The sequence below is a fragment of the Homo sapiens genome, chromosome 6 (assembly GCF_000001405.40).
Source record: "Homo sapiens chromosome 6, GRCh38.p14 Primary Assembly".
Classification (NCBI taxonomy): Eukaryota; Metazoa; Chordata; class Mammalia; order Primates; family Hominidae; genus Homo; species Homo sapiens.
This window is the reverse complement of record NC_000006.12, coordinates 4969017-4982833: the sequence shown is the minus strand read 5'-3', so window position 1 is coordinate 4982833 and position 13817 is coordinate 4969017. Positions and strand designations below refer to the sequence as shown.

Here is a 13817-nt window from a genome sequence, read left to right as displayed (position 1 = left end):
CTGAGGCAAGAGAATCGCTTGAACCAGGGAGTCAGAGGTTGTAGTGAGCCAAGATCGCACCACTGCACTCCAGCCTGTCGACAGAGCAAGACTCCATCTCAAAAAAAAAAAAAAAAAGTATATTCTTACAGATTTTGTCTTTCTCAACAGGTGAGGTAAGTTGGAGGCCTTTCTTTCATTTAGGAGGTGCTCACATCTGGCACACTGCATCTTAGTGCCTCTTGGCTCTCAGGCCACGCTGCACCCAGGGAAGATTGGGAGGCGTGAGAATAGGGGGCAGTCTCTTGGATCTATAAGCAGCCAGAATTTGTCATGTTTCTTTTAGGTCTCTAACAGGCCTCCATCTCTTTGTTCCCGAGGGAAAGTCGTAGGCATATAATGCCTTCTGAACTTCTAAAATGTGTCACTTTTTCTCAACTGGGAAACTTTGCCCCTATTTCATTTTAAAGTTATCAGAATAAAAGTACAGCTGGTATATTTGACTTCATAATAATAGCTGACATTTCTGAGCACTTCCTGTGTGTTCAGGCAGGCTGAGCGTCTGATCTACCCTCCGTCAGTTCATGCCCCCTATAGCCCCTCAAGGCAGGTTTTGCTCACACAGGAGAACAGAACATGCCGGTCCAGAACGCAAAGGATTGTAGATTGCGCTGAGGATAAGAAGCTGATGCAGGAGAGCTCCATGCCCGCCCTCTGTCTGCCAAAAGGCAGGACATAGATTGACAAAGAGAAAAGGTATCCTGTCCTGTCCCTGGCTCTGCCAGGGAGAACAAATTTTGCCACCGAAGACAGCTGTGGGCCCCCAGCAGCCTGGAGAAGGAACCACAGACAACAAGCTTTGCTGACGAACCTGCATCGGCCATGGCTTGCCTTCCCTCGAGTTGCTGCCCACAGAGACCCACAGTTCTGCTTTGTCTTGCTGCTTCTCCAAACTGTATTGTTCTTTGTTGAAGATGCTAGATAAGCCAGAGTTCTAAGTCCCTGCTCCAAGTGACCTCTCACTGAGATTTCTCCACACGGTGTGCACTGTGGGTGTTCATCAATTGGCTTATCTTTCTCTTGTTAATCTGGTTTTCTTCCACAGGGGTCTGTCCTAACTATGAACTTATGAGAGTTAAGGACAAATTCTATTTCCTCCCTGACACTCACATTTTACAAATAAGTTTAGAGAAACTAAGTAGTCTTCCCAAGGCCGCATGGCTAAGTAAGCAGTCAAACCAAAATTACTAATTAAGTTTGATTCCATAGTTGGAGTTTTTTCTTTTCTTTTTTTTTTTTTTTTTTTTGAGATAGGATCTCACTCTGTTTCTCAGGCTGGAGTGCAGTGGCACAATCACAGCTCACTGGAGCCTCAGCCTCCTGAGATCAAGCTCAAGGCTGGAGTGCAGAGGTGTGACCATAGCTTACTGTAACTTCAAACTCCTGGCCTCAAACAATCCCGCCCCAGCTTTCTGAGAAGCTGGGACTACAGGCACGCACCACCATGCCCAGCTAATGTTTATAGTTATTTTTGTAGTGACAGGGTCTCACTATGTTGCCCAGGCTGGAATACATGTATTTATTTAAAAAGGAAGAAAATCCTGAAACTGCCTTTGCAAAAATCATAATGGAGAAAATTATGACAGTGAAAGATACCAGATCTAACTGACCCCATCTTGTTTCTAACCTCTAAACTGTTCTTCTTCCTTCCTGGGTGTAGGCCAAACTAGCTTTGGGAAGAAATTTAGTGTATCGTTTATATAATAGCCTTTCCCAAAAGGCTAAACTGTTCTTGTAAACAAATGAAAGGCCACCAGCCACCAAGGTAAGATGAGAGGGGCTAGAATTCTAAATATTACCAGCCATTATGCCAGAGGACATAAGATTTACAACTTCCCCAATTACTCTTGAAGGTAACATCACTACTGTGAACCTAAGATCGGCCTTTTGAGGTGTCTTTTCAGGTTTTTGCATTTCTAACATCCAGACGGCCCTACCTGGACCTGCCAGCCAGTTCTGTGGCCCCCATCCAGGAACTGACCCAGCAGAAGAAAACAGCTTCGACTCCCTATGATTTCATCCCTGAGCCAGCCAATCAGCACTCCCGATTCACTGGCCCCCTACCTACCAAATTATTCTTAAAAACTCTGATCCCTGAATTTTTTGGGAGGACTGATTTGAGTAATAATAAAACTCTGGTCTCCTGCACAGCCGGCTCTGTGTGAATTACTCTTTCTCTATTGTAATTCCCCTGTCTTGATAAATCGGCTCTGTCTAGGCAGCAGGCAAGGTGAACCCCTTGGGTGGTTACAATTCTGACATGCTGCAACACAGATGAACCAAAGACATATGCTAAGTGAGGTAAGCCAGTCACAAAAGGAACAGTATTGTATGATTTCACTTATAGAATGAGCAAATTCATAGATACAGAAAGTAGACGAGGCCAGGCGTGGTGGCTCATGCCTGTAATCCCAGCATTTTCGGAGGGCAAGGGGGTGGATCACTTGAGGTCAGGAGTTCAAGACCAGCCTGGTCAACATGGTGAAACCCCATCTCTACTAAAATTACAAAAATTAGCTGGGTGTCATGGCAGGCACCGGTAATCCCAGCTACTCAGGAGGCTGAGGCAGGAGAATCACGTGAACCTGGGAGGCAGATGTTGCAGTGAGCTGAGATTGCGCCACTGCACTCCAGCCTTGGTGACAGAGCAAGATTCCATCTCAAAAAAAAAAAAAAAAAAAAAAAAAAAAAGAATAGAGCCAGGTATGGTGCTGTGCTCCAGTAGTCCCAGCTACTTGCAAGGGTGAAGTGGGAGTGTTAACTGCCCAAAGGGTTATAATATCATGTCATCTACAGAGACAACTTAACGTCTTCCTTTCCAATGTGGATGCCCTTTATTTCTTTTTCTTGCCTAACTGCTTTGACAAGGACTTCCAGTACCATGTTGAATAGAAGTAGTGAAAATGAGCATGCCCGTCTTGTTCCTGATCTTAAAGGAAAAGCTTTCAACTTTTCCCCATTGAATATGATGTTGACTTTGGCCTTATCATATATGGTCTTCATTTTGCTGAGGTGGATTCCTTTTATACCTAATTTGTTAAGAGTTTTTATGATCAAAGGACATTGAATTTTGTCAGGTGCTTTTCTGCATATATTGAGATGATCATATGGTTTTTGTCCCTCATTCTGTTAATGTGGTATATCACATTGATTGATTTGCATATGTTGAGCCATCCTTGCATTCCAAGGATAAATCCCACTTGATCATGGTGAATGGTTCTTTTACTGTGCTGTTGAATTCTAGTTGCTAGTATTTTTTTAGGTATACAAACTATTAATTAACAGACAAGGCCTACAGACGTATTTCTTCTTGGACATACCGATGGTATGGCCCTGGTGGCCGGTGGTCTTGGTGTGCTGACCTTGGACACAAAAGTCCCAGAATTGGTGCGGTCCTTTATTGACCCAAATCTTGTTCAGTTTCTCCAGACCATTGGTCAGGACCTGGCTATATTTTCCATCGTCGACATCCTCCTGTCTGTTCAAGAACCAGTCTGGGATCTTGTACTGGCATGGATTCTGCATAATGGTGATGATATGCTCCACCACATCCTCAGTGAGTTTTCCTGACCTTTTGGTGAGGTCAATATATGCTTTCCTCAACACCACATGAGCATATCTTCAACCCACACCCTTAATGGCAGTGATGGCAAAGGCTATTTTCTGTCACCCACTGAATACTCACAAAATGTGCTGGAACTTCTCAAGGATCACTAAAGACATGGTGGCAGCATGAGCAGCAGTCTGTAGGACTTTGGTGTAAGAGTAGCTTGCTAGTATTTTGTTGAGGACCTTTACATCTATGTTCATTAGGGATATTGGCCTTTAATTTTCTTTTCTTGTAGTGTCCTCAGCTGCTTTGCTATAAGAGTAATGCTGGTCTCATAAAACAAAAGGTTTTATTTTTTTTCCCCAAAAAATTCCTTTTCTGATAAAGTGTCCTTGCCTTTTTGCACCAAGTCTGGCTCCATTGATGAAATAATAAACTCTGAAGCTGATGTCACTACTACGCTCCCAGGCACTTTAGGATGTTTGACATTTTATTTAGGAGACAGTTTCGTTTTTCTACTGAATGATTACAAAGAAATCATTTTCCATGCAGCATACTTGCTCTCAATCAAAACACTCGGATGTGATTTCAAAGCCTTGACACAGACCTGGTGGGCTGTGGATTTCCAGGAGGGGCTGACTCTGGACACTGTAGCCCCCTGGGCCTCCCCATATGTGTGTGTGTGTGTGTGTGTGTGAGAGAGAGAGAGAGAGAGACAGAGAGAGAGAGAGAGAGAGAGAGAGAGAGGTCGAGCAGTGACTGTCAGCCCTGATTCTAGATTCTGGGTGGCAGCCCCCAGATCCTAAAGGGAGAATCTGCTGATCCCAGAATTCACCCAAGCTGGAGAAGCTTAGCTTTTAGATGCTGTGCAGTCTTCTTGCACTTTTCTTCTGTACACTGTGTAGATCCACATATGATCTCCAAGGACTGAATTCTGAGGGATGCCTGCAGTTCAAGGAGATTAAAGTATCAACAGTTTACCGTGTGCCAGGGAGCGCTAAGCAACTGTGTGAGTTTCCTTATTTAGTTCTCCCAAGGACCCCATGAGGTAGGGACACCAGTGCTCTCTCTTTTTAGCAAGTCTGTGCATTGAGCTTCTCGTTAGTTTTCAATTCCCACAACCATAGTTTTAAGTCAAGGCTTCCTCACTGGAACAACAGGCATAGAAGCGCTTGTGTCCCCTGACTCCTGGATATTGCTCTGAGGAGTCTGACCCAGCATCTGATGTGTGCTTGGCTGTGCCAAGACAGAAACTTTAAACTGCGGACATAGAAGAGGCTGGTCTCTAGCCTGGACACCATGCAGGTGACACTCAAATGACAGAGTAAATAAAGGGGATTCTGGGAATATGTATTCCTGGCAATAAATGACACAGAAAGAGTCGCTGTAGGAAAACACGACTCCCGCCAGACTGCACAAAGGGTGGAAAGAGGGAAGGAGAAAGGTGTGTGCTTGATTCTCCCTGAGAGTTGGAACAAGACAAAAATGCCCACTTTCACCACTTCTACTCAACATAGTACTGGAAGTCCTACCCAGGGCAATCAGACAAGAGAAATAAATAAAGGGCATCCAACTTGGAAAAGAGGAAGTCAAACTGTCACTGCTTCCTGATGATATGATCGTATACCTAGAACACCCTAAAGACTCTTCCAAAAAACTCCTAGATCTGATAAATGAATTCAGTAAAGTTTCACGATACAAAATTCATGTACACAAATCAGTAGCTCTGCTATACACCAACAATGACCAAGCTGAGACTCAATCAAGAACTCAATCCCTTTTACAACAGCTGCAAAAAATTAAAATAATAATAATAAAATACTTAGGAAAATACTTAACCAAGGAGGTGAAAGATCTCTACTAGGAAAACTACAAGGCACTACTGAAAGAAATCATAGATGACACAATCAAATGGAAACACATCCCATGCTCATGGATGGGTAGAATCAATATTGTGAAGATGACCATACTGCCCAAAGCAATTATAGATTCAATGCAATTCCCATCAAAATACTATCATCATTCTTCACAGAACTAGAAAAAACAATCCCACAATTCATATGGAACCAAAAAAAGTACACATAGCCAAAGCAACACCAAGCAAAAGGAAGAAAGCCAGAGGGATCACATTAGCTGACTTCAAATTATACTACAAGACTATAATCACCAAAACAGCATGGTACTGGAATAAAAATAGGCAGATAAACCAATGAAACAGAATAGAGAACACAGAAATAAAGCCAAATACTTACAGTCAACTGATCTTTGACAAAGCATACAAAAACATAAAGTGGAGAAAGGATACTCTATTCAATAAATGGTGCTGAGAAAACTGGCAAGCCACATGTAGAAGAATGAAACAGGATCCTCATCTCTCACCTTATACAAAAATCAACTCAAGATGGATCAAACACTTAAATCTAAGACCTGAAGACATAAAAATTCTAGAAGATCATATTGGAAAGGCTCTTCTAGACATTGGATTAAGAAAAGAATTCATGACTAAAAACCCAAAAACAAATGCAACAAAAACAAAAATAAATAAATGGGACCTAATTAAACTAAAAGGCTTCTGCACAGCAAAAGAAGTAATCAGCACAGTAAACAGACAACCCACACAGAGTGGGGAGAAAATATTCTCAAATGATGTATCTGTCAAAGGATAAATATCCAGAATCTACAAGGAACTCAAACAAATCAGCAAAAGAAAAACAAATAATCCCATCAAAAAGTGGGCAAAGGACGTGAAGAGACAATTCTCAAAAGAAGATATACAAATAGCCAACGAACATATGAAAAAATGCTCAACATTGGCGGGCGCCTGTAGTCCCAGCTACTCGGGAGGCTGAGGCAGGAGAATGGCGTGAACCCAGGAGGCGGAGCTTGCAGCGAGCCGAGATCTTGCCACTGCACTCTAGCCTGGGCGACAGAGCGAGACTCCGTCTCAAAAAATAAATAAATAAATAAATAAAAGAAAAAAGAAAAAATGCTCAACATCACTAATTATCAGGGAAATGCAAATTAAAACCACAATGAGATACCACCTTACTCTGCAAGAATGGCCATAATTAAAAAATTCAAAAACAATAGATGTTGGCATGGATGTGGTGAAAAGGGAACACTTTTACGCTGCTGGTGAAACTGTAAACTAGTACAACCACTGTGGAAAACAGTGTGGAGAGTCCTTAAAGAAGTAAAAGTAGAACTACCATTCAATCCAGCAATCCCATTCCTGGGTGTCTACCCAAAGGAAAAGAAGTCATTATACAAAAAAGACACTTGCACACACATGTTTATAGCAGCACAATTCACAACTGCAAAAACACAGAACCAACCTAAATGCCCATCAGCCAATGAATGAATAAAGAAAATGTGGTATATTTACAACGTGGAATACTACTCAAATGTAAAACTAAATGAAATAATGGCCTTTGCAGCAACTTGGATGGAACCGGAGGTTATTATTCTAAGTGAACTAACTCAGGAATGGAAAGCCAAATATCATATGTTCTCACTTACAAGTGGGAACTAAATCATGTGGACGAAAAGGCCTAAGAATGATGTAATGGACTCCAGGGGGAGTCCAGGGAGGAAGGGTGGGAGGGGGATGAGGAATAAAAGACCACATATTGTGTTCAGTGCACACTGCTTGGGTGATGGGTTCACCAAAATCTCAGAAATCACCACTAAAGAACTTATCCATGTAACTGAAAACCACTGGTTCCCCAAAAAACTATTGAAATAAAATAAAACTTTTATTTTTATTTTTAGAAAAAGAAAGGTGCGTGCTAGGAGGAAGGCGCCAGATTAAAGGCGTGTGAAGGGGCTGGCAGGCTGGGCTCGGAGGGGGAATGGGGCCTCCAGCTCTCAGCAGGGCAACAGTGGAACCACCTGGATGGCGGGACAGAGAGGAGCTCACAGCTCGTCCTGGACCCCATCCCCAGAAGAAAATGTCCCACCTGCTCCTTCCAAGACCACCTGGATGGCGGGACAGAGAGGAGCTCACAGCTCGTCCCGGACCCCATCCCCAAAACAAAATGTCCCACCTGCTCCTTCCAAGATGCAGGGGGGCTTTGTGCACAGGGCTTTGTGGGCTCTGTAGGAGTAAAGGTACCGAGTTTTTGCACCTCCCTGGAAATTCTCTGATAACTGCCACTGTATGCCCTGGTGTCAGCCGTCACCAGCCAGGATGAAGACTCGTGCCCCAGGCCAGGTCCCAAACAAGCTTGTGGCTAAAGGAATTTCACATATCTTTAGTCTCTCTCTCTCTGTCTAAAGTAAAGGGAAGAAGAGAGGCCCTTTGAAATATCTAGAAATATCTGAGCTAAATGTATGGGTAAAAATTCCTTTCACAAAATGCTATTTTTCAAAAGGAAGCAGGGTGTCTATTTTCACCAAGATGGATATTTCACAGCACTTTGGGATGTTCATAAACACTTTCTTGCCTTCATTTAGCCCAGGAAGCTGAAAAAGAGACAGAACTGAATGAATTTGCCTTGCTTATTCTTCCCTGAAAGATGGCAGACAGCAAGTTGCTGCTTGGCATAAACCCAAGACCTGCGTGATTAAATAATATATAACCATGGGGAGCCAGCAGGCACATGAATTGGTTTTCTAACAAGTGCACTTTCGGCCAAGAGGGTTAGCTGAGGTGCCTGCTCCCTGTCTCAGCCAGACCAGCAGCCTCGGGGCTTCCAAATACAGCCACTGTCTGCCCCAGGCGTATTCAAGATGGAAAAAAAAATGCACATTTAAAGGAGTCCAAATCTTATGTAAAAACAAGTCCACAGGTCCAGCTGGAATGGTCCTTCCAAAGAGGGAAAACACCAATTTAAATATTTGATTTGTATCCAAATCCATTTCATCAAAGACCTGGCACCCAGAACAGTCTGCCGACCCATCTGAGAAAGAATACAGACATTTCTGGTGTCCCTGAAAAGTAGCCTCAGCTCCCCAGGCCACCGGAGCCAAGAGCCAGAACCGGCTCTGAGTTTGGGGCATCAGATTACCCAGCCCCAGGATTACACACAGGCAAGTCCGGCTGAAACCGGAGCTGCCCCAACGCTTGCTTTATGCTGGCTTTGGGGCTTGAGCTTCCTCAGTCACAGCCAAACAGGGCCTGAGGCTGGGAGCTGGTGGGCTGGGAGCTGGGGCCTCCTGGAGAGCTGGGTCCAGCCCCTCGGTTCCAGCTTCCCTGTGCTTTCTGCCACTCTCCCTGGATCCTTCAGCGGCAGATTTTCGAGTGGTCCGGCCAAAGCCCAAGACAGTCACTGAATAATCGGCTGCAGTTTGCAAAGCCATTCCGTTTTGCAACTGCTGTTTTCATTCAGAATTTTCTGGAATTCCAATCCTCCCCCACCACCCTCCATGGTAGGTTTGTTTTTTTTTTTAAGTCTTCACACTTGGAAGGCACTTGGGCCTCTGAGGTGAGGACATGGGAAGGACTCGGATCTGCCTCCCCACTTTGGAAGGACACCCAAGACACAAAGGGACCGAAGGGAGGGCAAGATGGAGCATCCCAGCTGCTTCTGGGAAAAGACCAGGCCATAGAAATGGGAGAGCAGGGAGCACCCCACATCACAGCACTGCTCGACACTCGGCTATCCACCTCGAAAGCAAGATGCCGATCATCAAAAAGCAGAGCACGAGAAACAACCAAGTCATCAGACAGACAAATCTCCCTCCCTACCACGCCTGGCGCACAGTGGGTGCCCAGTCAATGTCAGTTCAGTCGAACTGTTTGTTGACAAGATCGCCTCACTGAGTACCAACTTCCTAACTCTCTTTTCGCCCGTTGGAAAGGTCAAGTTATTTGTACTTCATGGACTGTTCCGAGCAACTCTTCTGACACTTTTTAAAAAACAGCTTTGCTGATCAAGACCATTAGGGATATTTTGTCTCAAATATTCAAAAAATGCATGTCAAGGGGGAAAACTAACTCCATAGAAATCTTTCTTTAAAACAATTTATTTACCCATTATTTATTTATTTGAGACAGAGTCTCGCTCTGTCACCCAGGCTGGAGTGCAGTGGTGTGATCTCAGCTCTCTGCAACCTCCACCTCCCGGGTTCAAGCAATTCTCCTGCCTCAGCCTCCGAGTAGCTGGGATTATAGGTGTGCATCACCACATCCAGCTAACTTTTTGTATTTTTAGTAGAGACGGGGTTTCACTGTGTTGGCCAGGCTGGTCTTGAACTCCTGACCTCAAGTGATCCACCCACCTCGGCCTCCCAGAGTGCTGGGATTACAGGCATGAGCCACCACACCTGGCCTAACAATTTATTTATTTAAATTGTGGTAAAATACAGCGGAAAATGTACCATCTTAACTATATTTATTTTTATTTTTTTGAGAAAGTCTTCCTCTGTTGGCCCAGCTGAAGTGCAGTGGCACTATCTCAGCTCAAGCAATCCTTCCACCTCCGTTTCCTGAGTAGCTGGGACTACAGGTGCACGCCACCATGCCCAAAAATGTTTTGTGTTTTTAGTAGATACGGGGTTTCAGCATGTTGCCCAGGCTGGCTTGAACTCCTGGGCTCAAGCAATCCACCCACCTTGGCCTCCCACCGTGTACCATCTTAACCATTTTTCAGTGTGCATTTCAACAGTGTTAAGTGCCTTCACACTGCTGTGCAGCCGTCGCCACTATCCATCTCCAGGTCCTTTCCATCGTCCCAAACTGAAATTCTGTCCCATTAAACACTCACTTCTCACTCCTCCTCTCCCCGTCCCCTGGCAACCCCCGTTTGTCTCTGTGAAATTCACTACTCTAGGAACCTCACGTAAGTGCAAAAAATTGTTTTTTTAATTTAGAAAATATCTTGTGGCTAACGAGAGAATTATCAGCTGAATCCACAGATTTGACATTTCTGTTCCATGAAGCCACAGTGACACAAGCTCTGGTGTTCCAGGGTGAACAGTTCTTCCCTTGGTCACTATTCCTGAGGGAGTGACAGTCAGGATGCATCAGGGTTTGACACAGTCTCTGGGCAGGCTCCATGCTCTCCTGGAGATTTAACTCAGTGTGCTTGATGTGGGCCAACCTGGACCCCAGGTGGACACGCATGCTCGGCCAGTGGCTCTGTGACCCTACCTTTCATCCCTTCCCTCCCTCATTCCACGCTTCCCTCAGCCTGTGCCCTGCTCAAGTCCCTCCTGAGCCTGGAGACTCCTTCTCCATCCAGCTCCTGCCCACGGTCAGCTCCTGGGCTGCCCCATGTCCCCCCCACTCCCTCCAGGCCTGCAGCTGGCTCCTTTCACTCCCTCCAGGCCTGCAGCCGGCTCCTTTCACTCCCTCCAGGCCTGCAGCCGGCTCCTTTCCTCTTCTCTCCCCTTGTTTGTATCGAGCCCATCAATGACTTCCCAATGCCAAGTCCAGCAGGCCTGTTATAGGCTGAATTATGTCCCCCCAAAATTCACTGTTGAAGTCCTAACCTCTAGCGTCTCAGAATGTGACTGTATTTGGAGATAGGCTCCTTACAGAGGTGATTAAGTTAGGGTGAGGCTATCAGAGTGGCCCCTAATCCAGTAGAATTGGTGTCCTCATAAGAAGAGGAAATTTGGACATAGACAACACACAGGAGATTGAGACCATCCTGGCCAACATGGCGAAACCCCATCTCTACTAAAAATACAAAAATTAGCTGGGTGTGCTGGCGCGTGCCTGTAATCCCAGCTACTCAGGAGGCTGAGGCATGAGAATCACTTGAACCCGGGAGGTGGAGGTTTCAGTGTGCCTAGATTGCACCACTGCATTCCAGCCTGAGTGACAGAGTGAGACTCTGTCTCAAAATATATATATATACATATATATATATAGGGAGAGAGAGAGAGACAGAGAGAGAAGTGTAATATATATACAGAAAAACTACCAACCCTGAGTACACCTTGATGAATTGTCACAAAGTAGGCACACCTGGGACACCAGACCCGAATCAAGAAAGAGAATATTACCAGAGCCTCCCTCCCTACAAGCACCATTCCCCGAAGCACATCCCGAGTGAGTGTGTGAGGACACAGCAGGAAGGTGGCCATCTGTGAGCCAACAGAGAGGCTTCGGGAGGAACCAGCCCTGCCCACCCTTTGATCTTGGACTCCCAGCCTCCAGAACTGTGAGAGAAAATGTCTGTTGTTGAAGCCCCCGGTCTGTGATACTTTGTTATGGCAGCACACAAACAAACAAATACCAGGCTCCTTCTGGTCCTTGTCCTCCTTGTCCTCCCCTTTCCCTCTGCTTGCCCCCTGGGTGCTGCTGCTCTGAGATGACCCCTCCTCGCTGTGCCTGGCATTCCTCTCTCACAGTCCTGGCATCACTCACACACCCTTCCCGAGCCTCAGCTGGGTGTGCCAACTGCTTGCCAGACATTCGCTTAAGACAGCTCCACAGGCCAAGTCGAATCCAAGATCTTGGAGAGGCCAAGATCTCCAAGTCAGCCAGGTCAAAACAGAATGAGTGGCCCTCTTCTGCCATACCCAATTTCTTCTTGTTTCCAGTGTCACTGGCTCCTCTTTCCTTCAACCGTAACCAATCAAACACCGCGTCCTGATGATTTTACTTCAAAGGCATTTAACAAAATCCCTTCAGTGATTCCCTGTCACAGGACGAGATTGCAGCTCATCAATCTGGTAGACAAGGCCCCCCTCCAGTGCCCCACCACTCCGTGCCCCACAGCCCGGCTCCTGGAGGGCTACGCTGTCTCAAGGCTCTGGGACGTTCTTGGACTGTGCCTGGTCTGCAACACATTCTCGTTTTTCTTTTTCTTTTTCTTTTTTTTTTTACCATATCCTCTCTCAAACTGTTTATCCTCTAAGACTCAGCTTGGGCATGACCTCCTCCAAGAAGGCACCCCTGAATTCCCGGGCTGTGTTGAGTGCCCCTTCTTGATAGTTCCAACACATCTAGGGTGCCCTCATCATCATCATCATCATCACCAGGGTCTTGCCATCATCAGTACAGTTTATACAGCAAAATCATGTACTGAGCAATGGTCGTGTTGGGCACGTGTTTAATCTCATTTGACCCTTAAAACAACCCTGTGGAGGAGGTACTACCTTATCCTCAGTTCACAGATGAGGATACTGAGGCGCAGAGAAGTTAAGCCACTTGTCCAGGGTCATAGTCTATTATAGCATTATTCATCCTTTGTATCATGACCTCATCTTCTAATCTCCTCCTCCTTTGTACTGCCTGCTATGGTCTGAATGTATGTGGTCCCCCACCGAAACTCATGTGTTGAAACCTAATCATCCATGTGATAGTATTAGGAGGTGGGGTCTTTGAGAGGTGTTTAGGTCATGAGTGTGGACACCTCATGAATGGGATTAATGCCCTTATAAAAGAGGCTCCAGGGAGCTCCTGTGCCCCTTCGCCATTCGAGGACACAGTGAGAAGGTGCCATCTATGAAAGAGAAAGTCGGCCCTCACCAGACACCACATCCACCAGCGCCTTGATCTTGCACTTTCAGCCACCAGAGTGTGTGTGTGAATAGTACATTTCTGCTGTTAATAAGCCACTCAATTTATGGTATTCTGTTACAGCAACCCAAACAGACTAAGACACTGCCCTTGAGAACAGGAGCCACATCTAATTTATTTTTGGATCCCCAAGGCTCAGCATAAGTAACATGATAAGGAGTTGTTGCCATGAAGAACTGAACAGAATCGAATGGAACCTCTCACAGGCCACCTGGTCTGGCAAAGGCAAGACACCAGCTTCCTGGCTTTAGCTCCTGCCCTATGCCCAGGACTGGCCTTAGGTAAGAGTGGGTCCACATGGGATTCTGTAGGAAAGGAACCTGCCTACACAAGTTCTGTAGGAAAGGAACCTGCCTACACATGGAAAATATCTTTCCTATCTGCTCTACGGAGCTGCACATCTCTTTAAGGGAAAGAACACCCTCATTCCATAAATCAAAGTAAAGATTCAAAAGAAAATATGGCTGGTGCCCACCTTTCTCCGCTTGGCAGTTTGCACTTTTATCCATTGGCCAATTTGTTGGTTTGAAGACCTACCCTTCCTTTTATCAATCAATTCCAGAATCAATAATGCTTATTCTTTTATAATCAAAGAATGCATGCATTGTTGAGATGTACATATCATTACATGGAAATTAGTCTGCTGAGAGCTATCCTGCTTTTGATTATTTTATATGGGGCAAAAAGAACACGTGAGGATGACAATGAGAAGAGGTTTTTGTTTTTGTTTTTGAGGTACAGTCCTGCTCTGTT

At 45.3% G+C, this 13817-nt stretch overlaps 1 pseudogene, besides 3 other annotated features; it reads right to left on the bottom strand.

The window, feature by feature from the left end:
- Positions 893-1093: a silencer, noted in NCBI's record as "peak5629 fragment used in MPRA reporter construct". NCBI's record gives its function as "represses an SCP1 promoter by STARR-seq MPRAs in K562 erythroleukemia cells {active_cell/tissue: K562}" and the evidence as "EXISTENCE:reporter gene assay evidence [ECO:0000049][PMID:32103011]".
- On the bottom strand, positions 3299-3805 carry RPS18P8 (ribosomal protein S18 pseudogene 8; annotated as a pseudogene).
- Positions 10205-10729: an enhancer, noted in NCBI's record as "H3K27ac-H3K4me1 hESC enhancer chr6:4972339-4972863 (GRCh37/hg19 assembly coordinates)". NCBI's record gives its function as "activates a minimal SCP1, AML or CMV promoter by ChIP-STARR-seq in naive H9 embryonic stem cells {active_cell/tissue: H9 hESC(naive)}" and the evidence as "EXISTENCE:reporter gene assay evidence [ECO:0000049][PMID:30033119]".
- Positions 10730-11256: an enhancer, noted in NCBI's record as "H3K27ac-H3K4me1 hESC enhancer chr6:4971812-4972338 (GRCh37/hg19 assembly coordinates)". NCBI's record gives its function as "activates a minimal SCP1, AML or CMV promoter by ChIP-STARR-seq in naive H9 embryonic stem cells {active_cell/tissue: H9 hESC(naive)}" and the evidence as "EXISTENCE:reporter gene assay evidence [ECO:0000049][PMID:30033119]".